Genomic DNA, 22,916 nt, shown 5'->3' with positions numbered 1-22,916 from the left:
AAGAGGTGTGTATATAAACACTTTACTTTTTATTTACCTGAGGCCCAGAAGAGTTTCGTGTTTATTACAAAGTCACAAAGACAGGTGATATACTAGGAGCAGTGGTTAAAACATAGGATAAAATTACCTACCACTTAAGATTGTTTTACACATTAGGAAAGGTATGAAAGTACTTGGCACAGTATTTGGTACATATTGAGCTCAGAAGATATTAGCTACAATCTTTGTCTTAGATATAGCATGGGATCTAAATTTAGTGCTCTTTTTATATGCATTATTTATCCATCCAAGAGGTCCTCTTAATACCTGTTCTGTAGTGTATTCACTATGAGGGTTACACATCAAATTCAGCAGCTTAGGTAAAGGACTTTATGTACTGTTGTCCAATTGAGATATTTCCATTTTATATATTTAATGACTTCGTGTAAAAAACAACAACAACAAAAAGATTTCTGGAGTAATTCCCTCAGAGACTCAGAGACAATTCACATTAAGGTCTAAGAAGAAAGTTATGATTAAATATTTATTGGTACTGCATTGTAATCTATATTTGGGGTCCACAAAATAGTTAATCTTACTGATACAACACTCAGAAATAACTTTGCTGCTCTAGCAACAGAATATTCATGAATTGACATTAAGATAGCCTTTCACTTCTACTTTATCTTCTGTGAGGACTAGTGTTACAGGTATATTACAGGGTAACACAAATACTTTTTAGAATTAAAATATTTTGCTATTTTTTAAAAATTTGCATTTTTTTCATTTTTAGAATTCAACCACATTAAATAAAACTGTTTAATAATGTTCTTCCTTGATAACCTAGAGACCTGCTTCAACAGAAATCAAAGGAAACTCATGTGCTTGGTGTAAGAGCCCAGTTTGGTGTGTTCCATCTTCAGATGACAAGACAGTAACTGAATTCTGGGTAAAACTTTCCCCACTCTCTGCCCACTATTGCCTAGAGGTCTCAGCTGTTAGAGATAAATTCACGAGAGACCAAAAGCTCTGCATGATTCTGGAAATAGCTTCCCCCATTCCACTCTAAGTCTCAAAGTCTCACCACCACTTCCTGCTAGGAGACCTTCATAATTTTATCACATTCTTTATTCCGAAGTATGTGAGTCAACATAAGCAGCTCAGGTTACTCTCATCACTCAGAGAATCTAATTCTAATGCATTACATTCTGTAACCACATCTTTCACTTCTCCCATCATCTGGAAACATTTCACTGTGTCATCTGGCATTCACAGTAAATCATTATCAAAATGCACTCGCATTTTTTCTAAAGATTTTATCCACTCTGCCGCTCTTCTTGAAACCTAGTTGTTGCCTGAGCAAACTAGTTCTACTGCAGTCCTTTCAAGAGGCTGGCTGTTTATCTCCCACACATATTATACCAATAGACCAAGAAATTATGCATTTTCAATTACTGTACTTCTCTTTTTTTTCAAAACCCTTAATTTCTTTTGAGGATTTTGCCATCAGACTGTATATACATAATGGAATACAACACAACAGAGAATATAATATATTTGGTATCATTTCAAAAGTCACTTTTCACCTATATCTTAACAGACCTGGTTATTTATTGAGCATATCCTGAAGAAATAAGGAAAAAATAAAAATAAACTAGTAGAAAAAGAACGTAATATATGCAAATGTAAAATCTGTCTTCTCTGGAAAAATAAAGTAACAAAATACTATGAAGTTTATTAATCAGCAGACAAAATTTAATATACCTGTCCACTACTCAAATTTCATCACTATGAGGTGGACATTTTCAACAAAAGAAGATTGTGAAATATAAAAAAAGGAGTTTAATACTATATGATTTAAAAATTCTTAAAATTAAACAATAGCGTGGCTTTTAAATTAAAAAAATAAAATATAAACAACTTGGGGGCATATAAATGGAACAAGAATAACAACAAAAAAAAACTCTTCACATAATTATATAAAGTTCATTGGAGCAAACATGGAGGATATATAATGACATGATAATACAATGACTCTAAAACACCAGAAGCACTTTTGCTTGCTCACAAAATGCATAGATATAAATGTCGATATATATCAGATAAGTCATTCTTTTGAAATAAACTATAATTTAACTATCCAAACCCCACTTCTTAGCATTTTATTTGATGCAATGTGCACTCTACACTTTTTTTGTAAAACACGTCTTACAACTCCACCAGAAAGTATGTAGATACTAGCTACTTTGTTCAGTACCCCAACGTGTATAATACAATACGTGACACTAGGTTGGCATTCAATGTACTATTTATTTTATGTATTAATAATGCATGTTTTAATGTACTTTTATAATTGAAATAAAATATATAGTTAAAATTTTAATGTGAATAAGTTAAGAAATACAATTCTATGTAAATTGACTTTATCTCAATTTATGGTGTAACATAAATCCTTCTTTATAGAGAAACTTTTCACAAATATTGTTTTAGTGACTACAAACACATGCATGAATCATTTCCCTATTATTAAAAAATTGTTACTTTTGGGAGGCAGAACAAGATGGCAGAATAGAAGGCTCCACCAATCGTCTCCCCAACAAAGACATCAATTTAACAACTATCCAAACAAACAAACAAAAGAACCTTCACAAGAATCAAACATCAGATGAGCACTCACAGTGCCTGGTTTTAACTCAGTATCACTGAAAGAGGCACTGAAAAGGTAGAAGGAACAGTTCTGAATCACCAGCATCACTCCTCTCCTACCCTCAGCAGGAGCATTTCTGAGTGCTGGGGAAGGGAGACCACAGCAATTGTAAGGCGTTCAACTCAGTGTTATCCTGTTATAACAAAAAGGAAAACCACACCAAACTCAACTGACCCCTGGCCATGGAGGGAGCTTTTAAAACTGCCTTAGCCAGAGGGATATGTCTGATCCCAGCTGTCGAAACTTTAGTTACCACAAGCCTTGCCACTGTGGGCTAAAGTGTTCTGGGGCTCCAAATAAACTGGAAAGGCAGTCTAGGCCATAAGCAATGCAAGTTTTAGGTGAGTCCTAGTGATGAACTGGGTCCAGAGCTAGTAGAATGCTGGGGCACGTGACCTACTGAGACACAAGCTGAGGCAATTAAGCTCCAAAAGAGACCCCTTCTTTCCATTCAAGGAGAGAAGAGGGAAGAGTGGAAAGGACTCTGTCTTGCATCTTGGATAGCAGCTCAGTGACAGCAGGGTAGGGCATCTGTCAGAGTTATCAGGTACCTGTTCCAGGCTCTAGCTCCAATACAACATTTCTAGACATCTTGCACCAGAAGATAATCCTTTCTCTTTGCCTTGAAAGGAAAAACTCAGTACTAGTAGCCTTCATTACCTACTAACTGAAGAGCCCTTGGGCATTGAATAACCAGCAGTAATACTCAGGTGGTACATCAAGAAACTTGGGTGAGACTCTGAGGCTTGCTGGCTTCAAGTGAGACTCAGCACATTCCCAACTGTGGTGGCTATGGGGCAAGACTCCTTCAGCTTGAGAAAAGTGGAGGGAAAAGTAAAGGGGACTTTGTCTTGCACCTAGATACCAGCTCAGCCACAGTGGGGTAGAGAACCAACTCGTCTCTTGGGGTTGCTGATTCCAAAACTGGGCTCTTGCACAACATTTCTGGACCTGTCCTTGGCCAGAGGCGAGTCCACTGCCCAGAAGGGTGAGTCTCAGGACTGGCAAGATTCAGCACAAGCTGACTAAAGAGCCCACGGACCTTAAGGTAACATCAGCAGTAGGCTGGCAGTACTCACTGCAGGCCTGTAGTGACAGTTGCCATGGGGTGAGGCATACCTTCCTTTGGAAAGGGGATGAAAGATTGAGAAGGACTGTGTCTTGTGGTTTCAGCTCAGCCACAGTACAATAGAACACCAGAAAGACTTCTAAGTGGTTTTGACTCTAGTTCACGGCTTCCAATAGGCAACTCTGGACCTGCCTGGGGCCTGGGATAACACAGTGCCCTGAATGGAAGGACAGAGGCCTAGCTGGCTTTGCCACCTGCTGACTGTAAAGCCCCATGGTCTTGAGAGAAAACAGGCAATAGCCAGGGGTTACAGCAGGTCTTGGGCAAGAACCAGTGCTGTTCTGGCTTCAGGTCTGACCCAACACAGTATGTCACTCCACCCTACTTCTGGTGGTTCAGAACAGAGAGAGAGAGAGAGAGAGAGAAAGAGAGACCCCATTTGTTTGAAAGAAAAAGAAAAGAAGAAGAGAAGAGGTCAACTCTCTGCATGGTGATCTGGAGAATTCTTTCAGATCTTGTCCAAGACCATCAGGGCAGTATCTCTATGAGTCTCTAAGAACCACAGCATTACTGGGCTTGGGGTCCCCCCCAAAGCAGATACAACTTAGATCACAACATCCAAGTCTTTTTGAATACCTGAAAAGCTTTCCCAAGAAGGACAGGTACAAACAAGAGCAGACTGCAAAGACTACAATAAATACCTAACTCTTCAATGCCCAGACACAGACAATCATCTACAAGTACTAGGACAATCCAGGTAAACATGACCTCACCAAATAAACTAAATCAGGCATGAGAAAACAATCCTGGAAAAACAAAGATGTGTCACCTTTCAGACAGAGAATTCAAAATAGCTTTGTTGAAGAAACTCAAAGAAATTCAAGATAGAGAAGGCATTCAGAATTCTATTAGATAAATTAAAGAAAGAGATTGAAATAATTAAAAGGAATCAAGCAGAAATGAAATTCTGGACCTGAAAAATGCAATGGACATGGTAAAGAACATATCAGAGTCTTTTAATAGCAGAATTGACCAAACAGAAGAAACAATTAATGAGCCTGAAGCCAAGCTATTGAAAAATACATGGTCAGAGGAGACAAAAGAAAAAAAGAATTAAAAAGAATGAAGCGTGCCTGCCGAATCTAGAAAATAGCCTCAAAAGAGCAAATCTAAGTGTTAATTGGCCTTAAAGAGGGAACAGAGAAAGAGATAGGAGTAGAAAGTTTATTCAAAAGGATAATATCAGAAAACTTCACAAACCTAGAGTAAGAGAGCAATATCCAAGTACGAGAAGGTTATACAACACCAAGCAGATTTAACACAAAGAAGACAATCTCAAGGCCATTAATAATCAAACTCCCAAAGATCAAGGATAAAGAAAAGATGCTAAAATCAACAAAAGAAAGGAAATAAATAATAACACACAATGGAGTTCCAATACATCTGGCAGCAGAATTTCCAGTGGAAACCTTACAGGCCAAGAGAGAATGTCATGACATATTTAAACTGCTAAAGGAAAAAAATCTTTTATCCTAGAATAGTATATACAGTGAAAATATCCTTTAAACATAAAGGAGACATAAAGACTTTCCCAGACAAACAATAGCTGAGTTATTTCATCAACACGAGACCTGTCCTAGAATAGATGCTAAAGCAAGTACTTTAGTCAGAAAGAAAAGAACATTAATGAGGAATAAGCAACACCAAAGATACAAAACTCACAGGTAATGGTAAGAACACAGAAAAACAGAATACTGTGACACTGTAACTGTGGTGTGTAAACTACTCTGAAGCAGAAAGACTAAACCATGAAACAATCAAAAATAATAACTACAACAACTTTTCTGGACATAGTACAATAAGATATAAATGGAAATAATAAAAAGTTAAAGCAGGGACATAGTTAAGATGTAGAGTTTTTATTTCATTTATTTTTGCTTGTTAGTTGGTTTATGCAAACAGTGTTAAGTTGTTATCAGCTTAAGATAATGTGTTATAAAGTAATACTTGCAAGCCTCATTGTAACCTCAAACCAAAAAACATACAAGGGATACACAAAAAATGAAAGGCAAAAAACTAAATCATATCACCAGACAAAATCTCCTTCAATAAAAGGAAGACAGGAGGGAAAGAAAAAAGGAAGAGAAGATCACAAAACAACCAGAAAACAAATAATAAAACGGCAGGAGTAAGTCCTTAGTCATCAATAATACCACTGAACATAAATGGACGAAACTCTCCAATCAAAAGACATAGACTAACTAAACAAGGTGGGGCGGGTGGGCGGTGGTGGGAAGAGTCACTGATCTGTTGCCTATAAGAAACACACTTCACCTATAAAGGCACTCATAGACTGATAATAAAGGTATAAAGGTATTCCATGCCAAGAGAAACCAAAAAAGAGTAGGAGTAGCTATATTTATTTCAGATAAAATAGATTTCAAGGCAAATAGTACCAAAGGAGAAAAAGAAGGTCACTATATAATAATGAAGTGGTCAATTCAGCAAGAGGATATAACAATTTTTAAAATATAGAGTTAGACTCCAATACAATAATAGCTGGAGATTTCAACATCCCACTTTTAGCACTAAACCGATGTTCCAGACAAAAAATTAACAAAGCAACTTCAAACTTAATCTACACTCTAGACAAAATGGAGGTAACAGATATTTACAGAACATTTACTCCAGTGATTGCAGAATACACATTATTTTCCTCAGAGCATGGATCATTCTCAAGGATAGATCATATGTTAGATCACAAAACAGTTTAAAATATTCAAAAAACTGAAATAATATCTAGCATCTTCTCTGACCAAAACTGAATAAAACTAGAAATCAATAACAAGAAGAATTCTGAAAACTATACAAATATATGAAAATTAAACAATATGCTCCAGAATGATGAGTGGGTTAGTGAAGAAATTGAGAAGGAAATTGGAAATTTTCCTGAAACAAATGACAATGGAAACTCAGTATATGAAAACCTATGGAATACAGCCAAAGCAGTACTAAGAGGGAAGTTTATAGCCATAAGTGACTCCATCAAAAAAGAAGAAAAGCTTCAAATAAACAACCTAATGATACATCTTAAAAATTAGGAAAACAAGAGCAACCCAAACTCAAAATTAGTAAAGAGAAAATATCCAAATAAATCAAATCGGACACATAAAAGGAGACTGTACAACTGATACAGCAGACATTCAAAGGATCATTAGTGGCTACTATGAGCAACTGCAAGCCAATAAATTAGAAAAATCTAGAATAAATGGACAAATTCCTAGAGACATAAAATGTATCACGATTGAACCAGGAAGATATTCAAAACATGAACAAATCAATAACAAGTGACAAGATCAAAGCTGTAATAAAGCCTCACAGTAAAGAAAACCCTGGGACCTGATGGCTTCACTGCTCAATTCTACCAAACATTTAGAGAATTAATACCAATACTACCCAAAGTATTCCAAAAAATAGAGGAGGAGAGAATACTTCCAAACTCATTCTATGAGGCCAGTATTACCTTGACTCTAAAACCAGATAAAGGCACATCTGAAAAAAAGAAAACTATAAGCCAATATCACTAATGAATACTGATGCAAAAATCCTCAACACAGTACTAGCGAACTGCATTCAACAATACATTAAAAATATCATTCATCATGAATCCCAAGTGGGATTTTATCTCTGGGATGAAAGAATGATTCAACATAGGCAAATCAATCAGTGTGCTGCATCATACAAACAGATCAAAGGATTAAAAACCATACGATCATTTCAATAGATGCTAAAAAAGCATTTGATAAAATTCAACATCTTTCATGATAAAAACCATAAAAAATGAGTATAGAAGAAACATACTTCTACATAATAAAAACCATATATGACAGACCCACAGCTACTATCATACTAAATGAAGAAAGACTGAAAGCCTTTCCTTTGAAATCTGGAACACAAGGATGCACACTTTCACCACTGCTATTCACTCTCTCTTGCTCCTGCTCACACCATGTGAGATGCCTCACTCCCCCTTTGCCTACTGCCATGACTAGAGGTTCCTGAAGCCTCCCCAGAAGCAGAAACCACTATGCTTCCTGTACAGCCTGCAGAACCGTGAGCCAGTTAAACCTCATTTCTTTATAATTTACCCAGTTTCAGGTATCTTTTTATATCAATGTGAGAATGGACTAATGCACTTGTGATCCCGGAAAACAAGCAAAAGTTAAAAGAAATTATCCCACACCTTTGTGTTCCAGAAACAGCTTATTGCAAGGAACCCTTCCCCATATAACTTAGATGAGATGCAGGACACTTCCCTTGTGTCCCTATGACAAGGCCAGGCCTAGACCTCCAAAATGCCATTATTTCCTTCATAAATGATTAGCTGAACTGTTTGGGCCACTGACCAAACTGGACAAAATATTTGCTACATCGACTTAATCAAACTTTAGTTAAGCTTTACGCCTTCCCGTAGGCCCCTAAACTCTAATCCATATTCAGCCTCAGCAGCCTCAACCCTTCATTTACATCCTCTCCTAATAACAGGCTGACTATGTTTTAAAGGGTACCTCATTCTCTGAGCTCCTATCCCTAATCGCACCACCCTCATTTGTCCTACTTTCCTACACCCAATTCTTTCTAGTCTTGCTTACTATTCCCTAAAACAAAACAAAACACTTCACTGCTTACCCTTTGAGACACTTGCTGATCTTATAGTTGGCATATTTTCCTTATTGCAATTGCCCCCCTCCCCTCGTTGCAAACATCCTTTCCAATAAAGTCTCTCGTACCTAAGTCCAGATTTGTTTTTTTATTTGACAGTCTACTCAATCATATTTGGAAAGATTTCTGGCAACTAACCCCAATCTATTTCACTGAACTAATTTTCAAATTTTCCTTTCAAAATATCCACTGAAAAGGAGCTAGCCTTCTCATTCTCTCACACTAATGAGTGCTTTCATTTCACTATAAAAACTGTTCCCTCAAATGAATTGCAAAAGATGTCCTAGAAACGTGAATAAATCTAGTTTTTTCAAAATAATGGTGTTATCTTTGCTTCTCTAGTATCAAGTACATATCTATAGTTAATATATGTTGAATTACAAATCAAATGAGCAAATCAAGTTATGAAATCATATACACTTTATTGATTTACAGACACATATATTAGCTCCCAACTTTATTTAAAGTGTATGTCAATTTTAAAAATAATCTTTAATAATTTTGAAGATATTTTTAGAGTAAGGAAATTCTCTAAGGTTATCCAGTCATCTGAGTAACAAAACTATACTTTTCCTTTATTACACATATCACACAATATTATGAACAAACTATACAAATAAAAACAATGAATAATTTCATCAAAGAAAACACTGTAAACAAGCTAATAATGACATCAAAGATCATTCTCTGACAGACAGTTCTACTAAACAAAAGAAATCTGTTAAAATAATATATATCCTTAAAGCAATAAAAATTAGTGAACAATTTGATTCAGTCATACATATTTTCAGACAAAAGTTTCATTGAAGTCAAGCAAACGCTGTTGATTGTTCTGATACCAAATATGAAAGATAAATGGACTCTAGTAAGGAAATAGAGACATTTTCTTTATTTAAGCTTTTTATGGAAACAAATCCTAAGAACAGAATGAAATTATGTTAGCATCTAATTCAATTCATCACTTAATCAGACATGTCTTTTATATCATCTATGACAGGCAGCCTCTGAGAAATTCATAAAGCGAGCACTAGACCATCTGTGACAGAATCTTCATTTGATTGACTTAATCATTTATTTTTTCATATCTTTTAAAATGTTTATTTAGTATCTCATATGTCAATATGCCTAAAAACAAAGGGAAAGATATTTGTAAATGAGGAAAAAAATGAGTTATCGATAAGTGAACCACATGGAAAATATTAGTAGGAAATATAATAGCTGAGATTTTTTTAAAGCAATGATAAATGGCCTATATTGGAGAACTGTGTGTACAGCTTACGGATGTATTACTGAGTTCAAAGATAAAGTGGAGAAATTCTCCTAGATGACTACAAAAAAGTAAATAAATATACTAAATAAATACCAAGATATATTAAATAAAACTGCCAAAATCTTGATACTGAGATTACCATAGAGAAAAACATAAAGAGGAGGGTATAACTGATAAAATTATGGAGAGAAAGTTCAGAGAATTAAAAAAGATTATGAAAAATCTCAAACTGTAAGTTTCAGACCTAGGCATGTTATCATAAAATTAAGAATATTACAGGCAGAGAGAAAATATGCAACACTTCCAGGCAGAAAGAGAAGGTTGCCTCAATAGCAACAAGAACTCTCTACTCTTTGTTCCAGTTTAATTCCAGGTCTTTCCAACCCCTGAGATTTAGCATTATTATCCTCCTAACTCCAATTCTTGAAAATAATGAGACTTCTCTTTTAACTTTTGCCACAAGCTTTTTTTTTTTCAACTGTGTCATGTCCCCAGACCCTTGTCAGTCTTGCTTGATTCATACTTCTAAGGGAAACCTGACCAGTCTAATTGATGGATGAATATTGAGGGTAACAGAAAGAAAATTCAAGGACAGCTGCTACTTTTTTTTTTCTTCTTAACTGAGTGAATCATAGTGCCATTTATTATGAAAGAGACACTTGGGGAAAGCAAAGTTTGAAAGGCAGAATTCAAGACTTTTGTTTTGAAGCCTTTCCTTATTAGTATAGCGGTGAGTATCCCTACCTGTCAAGACTTCTGTTTTGGATATGTTAGTTCTGAGATACCTACCAGACAGCAAAGATGAGATGCTGAGCTAGTAGTTGGATACATGAGTCATGATCTGGTAGGTAGGGTAGGAATAGAGACATGACTTATAAAGTAACCAGCTCACACATTATGAGATTAGTTAAGAAGTATATGTAAATAGATAAATGATAATTGAGCCTAAAAGCATGCCAAATTTATGAATGAGGCAGAATAAGAAGAGCAAGCTAGAGATAGATAAAAAACAGCCATCACCTGTAATCTCAGCACTTTGGGAGGCCGAGGCAGGCGGATCACGAGGTCAGGAGATCGAGACCATCCTGGTTAACATGGTGAAACCCCGTCTCTACTGAAAATACAAAAAAAAAAAAAAAAAAAATTAGCTGGGCATGGTGGCAGGTGCCTGTAGTCCCAGCTACTCGGGAGACTGAGGCAGGAGAGTGGTGTGAAACTGGGAGGCGGAGCTTGCAGTGAGCTGAGATTGCACCACTGCACTCCAGCCTGGGTGACAGAGCAAGACTCCGGGGGGGGAAAAAAAAACCAGCCACTGAGGTCAAATAAAAACCACAAAGTGTGCCCTTCTGGTATCCAAATGAAGTATGTTTTTATTAAGAGAAAACATGATTAAATGATATTGAGAGCTCTACAAAAAGAAAGCCTGAAAAATGGCCATGAGTTGCAGAACATGGAGATAACTGGTGACCTTTGCATTGCACTTTCAGAAGACAGGGACTAAAATAGCCTGACTGGGGAGAAGGGTAGAACAAAATGGCAAAATAGAAGGCTCTCTCAATTGTCCCCCCAGTGAGGACACCAAGTTAACAACTATCTACACACACACACACACACACATATACACACACACACACCTTCATAAGAGCCAAAAATCAGGTAAGCACTCACACTACCTGGTTTTACCTTCATACCACGGAAAGAGGCACTGGAAAAACAGTCTTGAATCTCAGACCCCACCCCTCCGCCATCCCTCAGTAGAGGCAACCCTGCTCAGAGAGGCAGCCTGGTGTTTCTGAGAGCATTGCTGTGCACTGGGGAGAGTAAGAGCTAGCAATTCTGAGGCATTGAACTCAGTGCTGCCCTTGTTAATAGCAGAAAGCAAAACCAGGCCAAACTCAGGTGACGCTCGCCCAAGGAGGGAGAATTTAAACAAGCCCCACACAAAGGAGAATTGCCAATCCCAGTGTTTGGAACTTCAGTTCCCCCAAGCCTTGCCATCATGAGCTAAAGTGCTCTGGGCCCAGAGTCAGTGTGGGCTGAGGGAGAGAGGGGGTCATGACCTACTGAGACACCAGCCAGGACTGCTAGGGGACTGCTGGCATCACCTTTCCACTAACCTCAGGCTGCATAGTTTGTGGCTGCAAAGGAGACCCCTTCCTTCTGCTTGAGGATCAGAGAGGGAAGAGTGGGGAGGACTCTGTCTTGCCTCTTGGATACCAGCTCAGCCAGGGCAGGATAGGGCACCAGTCAGTCTTACAGCCCCTGTTCAGACCTTAGCTTCCTGATGACATTTCTAGAAACACCATGTACCAGAAAGGAACCTACTGCCTTGAAGGGAAGAACTCAGTCATGGCAAGATTTGTAACATGCCCTTAACAAAAGAATAACCAGAATAATAACCAGAAGCAATACCCAGGTACTACATTAAGAACATTGAGTGAGACTCTGAGACTTACTGGCTTCAGGTGAGACTCAGCACATTTCCAGCTGTGGTGGCTACAGGGTGAGACTCCTTCTGCTTGAGAGAAGTGGAGGAAAAAGTAAAGGGGACATTGTCTTGCACCTTAGGTACCAGCTCAGCCACAGGGTGGTAGAGCATGAAGTGGGCTCTGAGGTCTCTGATTCTAGGACTTGACTCTTGGATGGCATTTCTGGACCTTCTCTGGGGAAGAGAGGAAGCCCACTGCCATGACGGTTGAGTCTCAGGCTTGACAACATTCACTAGAAGCTGATTAAATAGCCATTAGGCCTTAGGGAACAATGGCAGTAGCCTGGCAGTACTCCCCATAGGCCTGAAGTGGCAGTGGCCACATGGTGAGGCTCTTCTGCCTTTGGAAAGGGGAGGCAAAAATGGGAGGACTGCATCTCCTTATTTGAGTTGCCAGCTTAACCACAGTACAATAGAACAACAAGTGGACTTCTAAGGTTTCTGACTCTAGTCCCTGGCTCCCAGGTGGCACCTCTGAACCGATCTAGGTCCTGGGGCAACTCACTGCCCTAAAGGAAAGAACACAGGCCTGGCTGGCATTGCTACCTGCTGATTGTAGAGCCTCAGAGTTTTGAGCAAAAATAGGCAGGAGCCAGGGAATGGTTTACAGCAGGCCTTAGGTGAGAACCAGTGCTGTGCTGGCTTCAGGTCTGACCCAGTGCAAGCTATGGGTGGTGCCTACAGGGGTGATGTGCCACTCTACCCTCTGCTCCAGGTGGCTCAGAACAGACAGAGGGACTTTGTTTGAGAGAAAGTAAGGGAAGAGAACAATAATCTCTGCCTGGTAATCCAGAGAATTCTTTGGGATCTTGACCTAGACCATCAATATAGTACCTCTATGAGTCTATAAGAACCACAGCATTAGGGAACTTGAGGTCCCCCATAAGGAAGATACAGCTTAAATCACAACAACTAAGTCATTTTGAATATCTGGAAAGCCTGCCCAAGAAGGATGCATACAAACAAGCTCAGATTGTGGAGACTACAATAAATACCTAACTCTTCAATGGCCAGACACATTAACATCTACAAGTATCAAGATGATCCAGGAAAAGATGACCTCACCAAATGAACTAAATAAGACATCAGGGAACAATCCTGGAGAAACAGAGATATGTGACCTTTGAATTCAGACAGAGAATTCACAATATCTGAATGAAAAAAACTTAAAGACATTCAAGATAACACAGAGAAGGAATTCAAAATTCTATCAGATAAATTTAAAAAAGACATTGAAATAATTAAAAAGAATCAAGCAGAAATTCTGGAGCTGAAAAATGCAAATGTCATACCAAAGAATGCATCAGAGTCTTTTAAAAGAAGAATTGATAAAGCAGAGGAAAGAATTAGTGGGCTTGAAGACAGGCTATTTGGAAGCACACAGTCAGAGGAGAAAAACGAAGAAAAAAAAATAAAAACAATGAAGTGCATGGACAGCATCTAGAAAGCCGCAACAGGGCAAATCTAAGAGTTATTAGCCTTAAAGAGAAGGTAGAGAAAAAGATAGGAGTAGAAAGGGATAATAACAGCGAACTTCCTAAACCTAGAGAAATATATCAATACCCAAGTAAAAGAAGGTTATAGAACACCAAGGAGATCTAATCCAAAGAAGACTCCTAAGGCATTTAATCAAACTCCCAAAGGTCAAGGATAAAGAAAGGGTGCTAAAAGCAGCAAGAGAAAAGAAACAAATAACAGAAAATTGAGTTCCAATACATCTGACAGTAGACTTTTCAGTGGGAACTTTACAGGCCAGGAGAGCATGGCATGACATAATTAAAGTGCTGAAGGCAAAAATATTTTTTCCTAGAATGTATATGGCAAAAATATCTTTCAAATTTGAAGGAGAAATAAACCTTTTACCAGACAAACAAAAGCTGAGGGATTTCAGCAACACCAGACCTTTCCCACAAGAAATGCTAAAGGGAATACTTAAATCAGAAAGAAAAGTATGTTAATGAGCAATAAGAAATGTTAATGAAGATACAAAACTCACTGAATAGTGAGAATACAGAAAAACAGAGAATATTACAACACTGTAATCACAGTTTATGAACTACTCTTAAGTACAAAAACTAAACAATGATCCAATCAAAAATAATAACTAAAACAACTTTTCAAGAAAAATGGAACAATAAGATATAAGTAGTAACAAAAAAGTTAAAAGAAAACGGGTATGAAGTTATGGCATCAAGTCTTTATAAGTTTTAATTCCTTGTTTGTTTGTTTATGAAAATGATGTTAAGTTGTTATCAGCTTAAAATGATGGGTTATAAGATGGTATTTGCAAGCTTCATGGTAACCTCAAAGCAAAAAAATATATAATGAATATACAAAAAATAAAAAACAAGAAACTAAATCATATCACCAGACAAAATCATCTTCAATAAAAGGAAAACAGGAAGAAACTGTAAGAAAAGACAAAGAAGTTCACTATATAATAATGAAGAGGTTAATTCAGCAAAAGGATATAACAATTTTAAATATATATGCACCCAACACTGGAGCACCCAGATATATGAAGCAAATATTATTAGACCTAAAGAGATAGACTCCAATCCAATAATAGCGGGAGACTTCAACGCCCCACTATAAGCACTGGAAATATCTTCCAGATGGAAAACAAAGAAAATTCAAATTTAATCTGCACTCTCGGCCAAATGGAGCTAATAGGTATTTACAGAGCATTTCATCAAATTGCTGCAGAATACACATTCTGTTCTGCAGCACATGAAACATTCTTAAGGATAGACCATATGTTAGGTCACAAAACAAGTTTTAAAACATTCAAAAAATTGAAATAATATCAAGCATCTCTTCAGACCACAGTGGAATAAAAGTAGAAATCAATAAGAGAAAATTTGGAAACTATATAAAGACATAAAAATTACACAATATGCTCCTGAATGACCAATGAGTCAATGAGGAAACTAAGCAGAAAGTTGAAAAATTTATTGAAACAAATGATAATGAAAACATAACATACTGAAGCACACTGGATACAGCAAAAGCAGTACGAAGAGGGAAGTTTATAGCTGTAAGTGACTCCAACAAAAAAGAAGAAAAACTTCAAATAAATAATGTAATCATGCATCTTAAAGAACTAGAAAAACAAGAACAAACCAAAACCCAAACCAACAGAGGAGAAATAATAAAGATCAAGCAGAAATAAATAAAATTAAAATGAAGAAAACACTATAAAAAAGCAATGAAAGACTATTTTTTTGAAAAGTTAAATAAAATTGACAAACCTTCACCCAGACTAAGAAAAAACAGAGACATTGCAAATAAAAGCAGAGATGAAAAAGAAAATTTTACAACTGCTATCCCAGAAATTCAAAGAATCATTAGTGGCTACTATGAGCTACTATGTCTAGAAGAAATGGACAAATTCCTAGACACATACAACCTACCAAGATTGAACCAGGAAGAAATTCAAAACCTGAATAGAGCAATAATAAGTAACAAGATTAAAGCCATAATTAAAAGGTTCCCAGGGCCAGTCACGGTGGTTCAGCCTATAATCCCAGCACTTTGGGAGGCTAAGGTGGGTGGATCACCTGAGGTCGGGAGTTTGAGTCCAGCCTGACCCATCTCTACTAAAAATACAAAACTAGCTGGGAATGGTGGTGCATGCCTGTAATCTCAGCTACTCGGGAGGCTGAGGTAGGAGAATTGCTTGAGTTTAGGAGGCGGAGGTTGCAGTGAGCTGAGATCATGCCATTGCACTCCAGCCTGGGCAACAAGAGCAAAACTCTGCCTCAAAAAAAAAAAAAAAAAAAGCTTACCAGTAAAATGAAGCCCAGGACCCAATGGCTTCACTGTTGAATTCTACCAAACATTTAAAGAAGAGCTAATACCAATCCTACTCAAACTATTTAAACTATTCGAAAAACAGAGGTGGAGGGAATACTTCCAAATTCATTTTATGAGGCCAGGATTATCCTGATAACAAAACCAGACAAAGACACATCATAAATAAATAAATACATAAATAGAAAATAAAAAACTATAGGCCAATATCACTGAAGAATATTGATGCAAAAATCCTCTACAAAGTGGTAGCAAACCAAATTCAACAATACATTTAAAAGATTATTCATCATGACCAAGTGGGATTTACCCTTAGGATGCAATAATGGTTTAACATATGCAAATAAATCAATGTGTTACATCATAAAAACAGACTGAAGGATAAAAACCATACAATCATTGCAATTGATGCTGAAAATTCAACATCCCCTCACGATAAAGACCCTCAAAAACTGGGTATAGAAAGAACATACCTCAACATAATTAAAACCATATATGACAGACCCACAGCTAGTGTCATACTGAACGGAGACAAACTGAAAGCCTTACCCCTGAAATCTGAACACAACAAGGATGCACACTTTCACCACTGTTATTCTACACAGTACTGGAAGTCCTAGCTGGAGAAATCAGACAAGAGAAAGAAATAAAGGGCAGCCAAATTGGAAAGGAAGAAGCCAAACTATTTTTATTTGCAGATGAAAGGATATTATATTTGGAAAAACCTAAACACTCCACCAAAACACAAAAATAACTATTAGAACTCATAAACAAATTCAGTAAAATTGTAGAACATAAAAATCAACCTACAAAATTCTACAGGATTTTTAGATGCCAACAGTAAACAATCTAAAAAAAAAAAAAGAATTCCCATTTACAATAGCCACAAATAAAATTAAATACCTAGGAATTAACTTAACCAAAGAAGTGAAAGATCCCTATAATTAAAACTATAAAATGCGAATGAGAAAAGCTAAAGAGAAGACCAGAAAATGCAAAGATATTCCATGTTCGTGGGTTGGAAGAATCAATATTGTTAAAATGTACATACTACCCTAAAGCAATCTACAGATTCAATGAAATCCCTATCAAAATACCAACGACATTCTTCAAAGAAATAGAAAACAACTATCCTAAAATTTGTATGAAACCATAAAAGACCCACAGTAGCCAAAGCTATCCTAAGCAAAAAGAACAAAAATGGAGGAATCATATTACCTGACTTCAAATTGTACTACAATGCTATAGCAAACAAAACAGCATAGTACTGTCATAAAAACAGACACATAGACCAATGAAACACAATAGAGAATTCAGAAATAAATCCACGCACCTACAGTAAACACACTTTCTATAAAGGCGCCAAAAACATACACTGGGAAAAAGACAGTTTCTTCAATAAATGATGCTGGGAAAACTGAACATCCATATGCAAAAGAATGAAACTAGACCCCATCTCTTGCCATATACAAACATCAAATCAATATAGGCAAAGACTTAAATCTAAGACTTCAAATTATGAAACTACTATAAGAAAACATTAGGGAAAACATCCAGGACATTGATCTGGGCAAAAATTTCTTTAGTAATAACCCACAAGTACAGGCAACCCAAGCAAAATGGACAAATGGTATCTCATTAAGTTGAAAAGCATTTACACAGCAAAGGAAACAATCAATGGGATAAAAAATTTGCAAACTACTCACTTGACAAGGGATTAATAACCAGAATATATAAGGAGGTCAAACAACTCTGCAGGAAAAAATCTAATAATCTGATTAAAATATGGGCAAAAATTTGAATAGCTATTTCTCAAAAGGAGACACAAAATGATAAATAGGCATATGAAAAGGATGTATTTTCTGTAGCCTCAGAAAGTACATTCTTTCCCTCCCATTAAAATGGCTTATATCCAAAAGACAGGCAATAAAAAATGCTAGCGAGAATGTGGAGAAAAGGAAATCCTCATACACTGTTGGTGGAAGTGTAAATTAATACAACCACTATGGAGAACAGTTTGGAAGTTCCTCAAAATACTAAAAATAGAGCTACCATATGTTCCAGCAATCCCACTGCTATGTATATACTGAAAAGAAAGGAAATCAGTATGTCAAAGCGATAACTGCACTTTCATGTTTGTTGCAGCTCTGTTCACAATAGGCAAGAACTGGAAGCAACCTAAGTGTGTATCAACAGGTGAATGGACAAAAAGAAATGTGGCAGTTATACACAACGGAGTACTATTCAGCTGTAAAAAGAATGAGATACAGTCATTTGCAACAAATGGATGGAAATGGAAGTCATTATGTTCAGTGAAATAGGCCAGGCACAGAAAGACAGACACCCCATGATCTTACTTATTTGTGAGATCTAAAAATCAAAACAATTTAACCTATGGAGGTAGAGAGTAGAATCATGGGTATCAGATATGGGAAGCAGAGTGTAGGGATGGGGGTGGAGTGCTGTGAGGGAGATGGAGAGAGTTAACAGGTACAAAAAAAAATTAGAATGAATGAATAAGACCTACCATTTGATAGCACAAAAAGATGTCTATAGTCAAAAGTAATTTAAGTTAATTTTGTTAAATAGCTAAGAGTATAATAAGATTGTTTCTAACACTAAGAATAAATGCTTGAAGGGATGGATAGCCTATTTTCCATAATGTAATTATTATGCATTGCATGTCTGTATTAAAACACTTCATGTACCCCATAAATATATACACTTACTATGTACCCACAAAAAATAAAAATAAAAATAAAATAGCCTGACTGGTGTGGGTAGACTTTTGCATTGTATTTTCAGAGGATAGGGGGCTAGAAGAGCCTGACTGGTTGAAAGAAATGAAGAAAGGAAGTAGAGAAACTCAAGGAATTTTGCTTTAAATGGAAACAGAGAAATAAGGTAGGAAATGGAGGGTGAGATAGACTAAGACTAGACATTTTTGGGGGAGCTATTGAATATGTATTTATGCTGATTGGAAAATTATGTTAACAGGAGAAAACTGGTGATACAGAAAAGAGAGAGCATAAATGCAAGAAGAAGTTCTTTGAGAAAGTATGAGGGAATATGGTCAAAGAGAAGGCCCTGTCCTTAAATGAACAGAAGCAATTCATTCAGCATAAGAGAAGGGAAGGCTGACTCATGGAAACATACTAAAATACTTAATAGTTTGGTAGATTTGGTGATGGGAAAGTGTAGAATTTCTCTTCTAATTGCATGTATTTTCTCAGTTGAATAAGGAGTAGGTATTAGTTCTGAGTATGATGATGGGGGTATAAGGATTCAAGAACAGAAAAAGAGGGTTGTTTAGGCAGAAAAGAGCCATCTCAAATAGAAGAGTGAATGGAAGATATAAGGAGGTTAAATTTCTGTACAATTATAATGACCTTATGATGACTGCAATCCAAATGTAAGATAAGTATAACTAATAAACATGGTTGTATGAGGGAATGCATGTGTGGGGGGTTTGTTCCAGCCATATTGTTTGCTTAAGTAGAAGAATGCATAGTCATTAACAGGGGTTGGGATTTTTCCACACAAGTAAGAAAGAAAAAAGGGCAAAGACGTCTTGATAAATTATATCCATATATTGAAACAAAATTTACCTTTGAAACTGATCCAGCCTTAAAAACTACATCAGTTATGTTCCTCTTCTTATCATATCCCTTTATTGTACTGTATTAGTCCATTTCATGCTGCTTATAAAGAAATACCCAAGACTGGGCAATTTACAAGAGAAAGAGGTTTAACTGGATTCACAGTTCCACGTGGCTGGGGAGGCCTCACAATCATGGCAACAGGAGCAAGTCACATCCTACGTGGATGGCAACAGGCAAAGAGAACTTACCATTTTTAAAACCATCAGATCTTGTGAGACTCATTCACTATCATGAGAACAGCACAGAAAAGAGCCACCCCCATAATTCAATCACCTCCCAACAGGTTCTTCCCACAACATGTGGGAATTGTGGGAGTTACAATTCAAGCTGATATTTGGGTGGGGAAACAGCCAAACCATATCATTTGGCACCTGGCCACTCCCAAATTTCATGTCCTCACATTTCAAAACCAATCATGCCTTACTAACAGTCCCTCAAAGTCTTAACTAATTTCAGCATTAACTCAAAAGTCCACAGTCCAAAGTCGCATCTGAGATAAGGCAAGTCCCTTCTGCCTATAAGCCTGTAAAATCAAAAGCAAGCTAGTTACTTCCTAGATACAATGAAGGTACAGGTATTGGGTACATGCAGCCATTCCAAATGGGAGAAACTGACCAAAACCAAGGGACTACAGGCCCCATGCAAGTCCAAAATCCAGTGGGGGATTCAAATCTTAAACCTCCAAAATGATCTGTTTTGACTCCATGTCTCACATCCAAGTCATACTGATCCAGCAAATCAGTTCCCATAGTCTTGGGCAGCTCCACGTCTGTACCCTGTGGCTCTGCAGGGTACAGCCTCCCTCCCATCTGCTTTCATGAGTTGGCAATGAGTGTCTGTGGCTTTTCCAGGTGCACGGTACAAGCTCTCAGCAGATATATCATTCTGGGGTCTGGAGGACAGTGGCACTCTTCTCACAGCTCCACTAGGTGGTGCCCCAGTAGGGACTCTGTGTGGGAACTCTCACCCCACATTTCCCTTCCTCGCTGTCCTAGCAAAGGTTATCCATGATGACCCCACCCCTGCAGCAAACTTTTGCCTGGGCATCCAGGCATTCCTATACATCTTCTAAAAATCTAGGCAGAGATTCCCAAACTTGAATTCTTGACTTCTGTGCACCCACAGGCTCAACACCATGTGGAAGCTGCCAAGGCCTTAAGTTTGCACCCTCTGAAGCCACAGTCCAAGCTCTACATTCGTCCATTTCAGCGATGGCGGAGCGGCTGGGATGGAAGGCACCAAGTTCCTAGGCTGCACACAGCACGGGGACCTCAGGCCCAGCCCAGAAAACCGATTTTTCTTCCTAGGCCTTCCGGCACGTGATGGGAGAGGCTGTTGCAAAGGTCTCTGACATGCCCTGGAGACATTTTCCCCATTGTCTTGGTGATTAACATTCTTATGCAAATTACTTATGCAAATTACTGCAGCTAGCTTGAATTTCTCCTCAGAAAATGGGATTTTCTTTTCTATTGCCTTGTCAGGCTGCAAATTTTCCAAACGTTTAAGCTCTATTTCCCATTTGAAACTGAATGCCTTTAACAGCACCCAAGTTACCTCTTGAATGCTTTGCTGTTTAGAAATTTCTTCCACCAGATACCCTAAATCATCTCTCTCAAGTTCAAAGTTCCACAAATCTCTAGGGCAGGAGCAAAATGCCACCAGTCTCTTTGCTAAAACATAATAAGAGTCACCTTTGTTCCAGTTCCTAACAAGTTCCTCCTCTTCACCTGAGACCAACTCAGCCTGGACTTTATTGTCCATATGGCTATCAGCATTTTGGTCAAAGCCATTCAACAAGTGTCTAGGAAGTTCCAAACTTTCCCACATTTTCCTGTCTTCTTCTGAGCCCTCCAAACTGTTCCAACCTCTGCCTGTTACCCAGTTCCAAATTCGCTTCCACATTTTCAGTTATCTTTTCAGTTTCAGTTATCTTTTCAGCAGTGCCCCACTCTACTGGTACCAATTTACTGTATTAGTCCTTTTTCTCACTGCTGATAACCTGAAATTGGGCAATTTACAAAAGAAAGAGGTTTAACTGGACTCACAGTTCCACATGGCTGGGGAGGCCTCAAAATCATGGCAGAAGGCAAGGAGGAACAAGTCACATCCTGTGTGGATGGCAGCAGGCAAACAGAGCTTGTTCAGGGAAACTCCCATTTTTAAACCCATCAGATCTCCAGTTTCATTCACTATCATGAGAACAGCTCAGGAAAGTCCTGCCCCCATAATTCCCATGACACATGGGAATTGTGGGAGTTACAACTCAAGATGAGATTTGGGTGGGGACACAGCCACACCACATCATGTACTCAACATGAATATTCACTTACAATTTACTGTTTTGGGAATATTTTTAAATTATCATAGGGTTGAAACTTGTTCACAAATTAATGACCAAAGGGGAAATATGCACCTAGGTATACTAATACATTTTGTCTGTCATGTGAATATATTTATATCTAAGAACATTTTATTTTATTTTATTTTATTTTTGAAGACAGGATCTCACTCTGTCTCCAAGGCTGGAGTACAGTGGCATGATCATAACTCACTGCAACCTCAAACTCCTAGGCTTAAGTGATCCAACTGGCTTACCCTCCTGAGTAGCTGGGACTACAGGAGCATACCCTCATACCTGGTTAATTTTGTTTTTATTTTTATTTTTGTACAGATGGGGGTCTCACTATGTTTCCCAGGCCGGATTGGAACTCAGCTTTAAGTAATCCCTCCCATGTCCGCCTCCCAAAGCGCTGCAATTATAGGCATGAAACTCCATGCCCAGCCGAAGGTTTTCTTAAAGTTTCTTCTGACATAGATAAGAGGTAGAAGAGAAAGATACACTTTAGTGTCCCTATGCCTAATGTGGATTTCGTCACAACTAAGGTCAGTGACTAAAATTACTGATCCTCTTTATTCATTTGTACCAGCAGTCTTCAGTTTTGGATTTCCTCATCCTTTTCACCAGTAAGTCCTCTTATCCAATTTGAATTAGACCCTTTTGATCCTGATCTACTGACAGAGGCAGGAGGCAGACAAATGCCTAGGCAGATAGAGGTGGTTCCCTGGTGAAACCCCACCTTCAAGTCAAAGGCTGTCCTGGGTAAATCCTTGGACCAGATTGAGAACCTGTCTTCCTGTCTGGCATGCTTTCCTCTGATTGATCCCCACTGTTCACCTATTTTACATATACCTATCCTTCCCTAATT

General features: G+C 37.7%; 1 protein-coding gene across 66 annotated transcripts in view; it reads right to left on the bottom strand.

The window, feature by feature from the left end:
* GULP1 (GULP PTB domain containing engulfment adaptor 1) overlaps positions 1-22,916 on the bottom strand; it is a 304,053-nt gene that overhangs the window by 118,591 nt on the left and 162,546 nt on the right. For 10 of the 66 annotated variants that reach the window (NM_001375929.1, NM_001375941.1, NM_001375934.1 and 7 more), the window contains one exon: positions 10,768-10,861. The exons of the other annotated variants lie outside the window; for them this stretch is intronic. The gene's annotated coding sequence lies outside the window, so the exon portion shown is untranslated. Of the gene's footprint in view, positions 1-10,767; positions 10,862-22,916 lie in introns of those variants that run through there. 66 annotated transcript variants of the gene reach the window in all.

This window comes from Homo sapiens, chromosome 2, assembly GCF_000001405.40.
Source record: "Homo sapiens chromosome 2, GRCh38.p14 Primary Assembly".
Taxonomy (NCBI): domain Eukaryota; kingdom Metazoa; phylum Chordata; class Mammalia; order Primates; family Hominidae; genus Homo; species Homo sapiens.
Note: the sequence above shows the minus strand (reverse complement) of the source record. Positions and strands in the feature narration are given on the sequence as shown.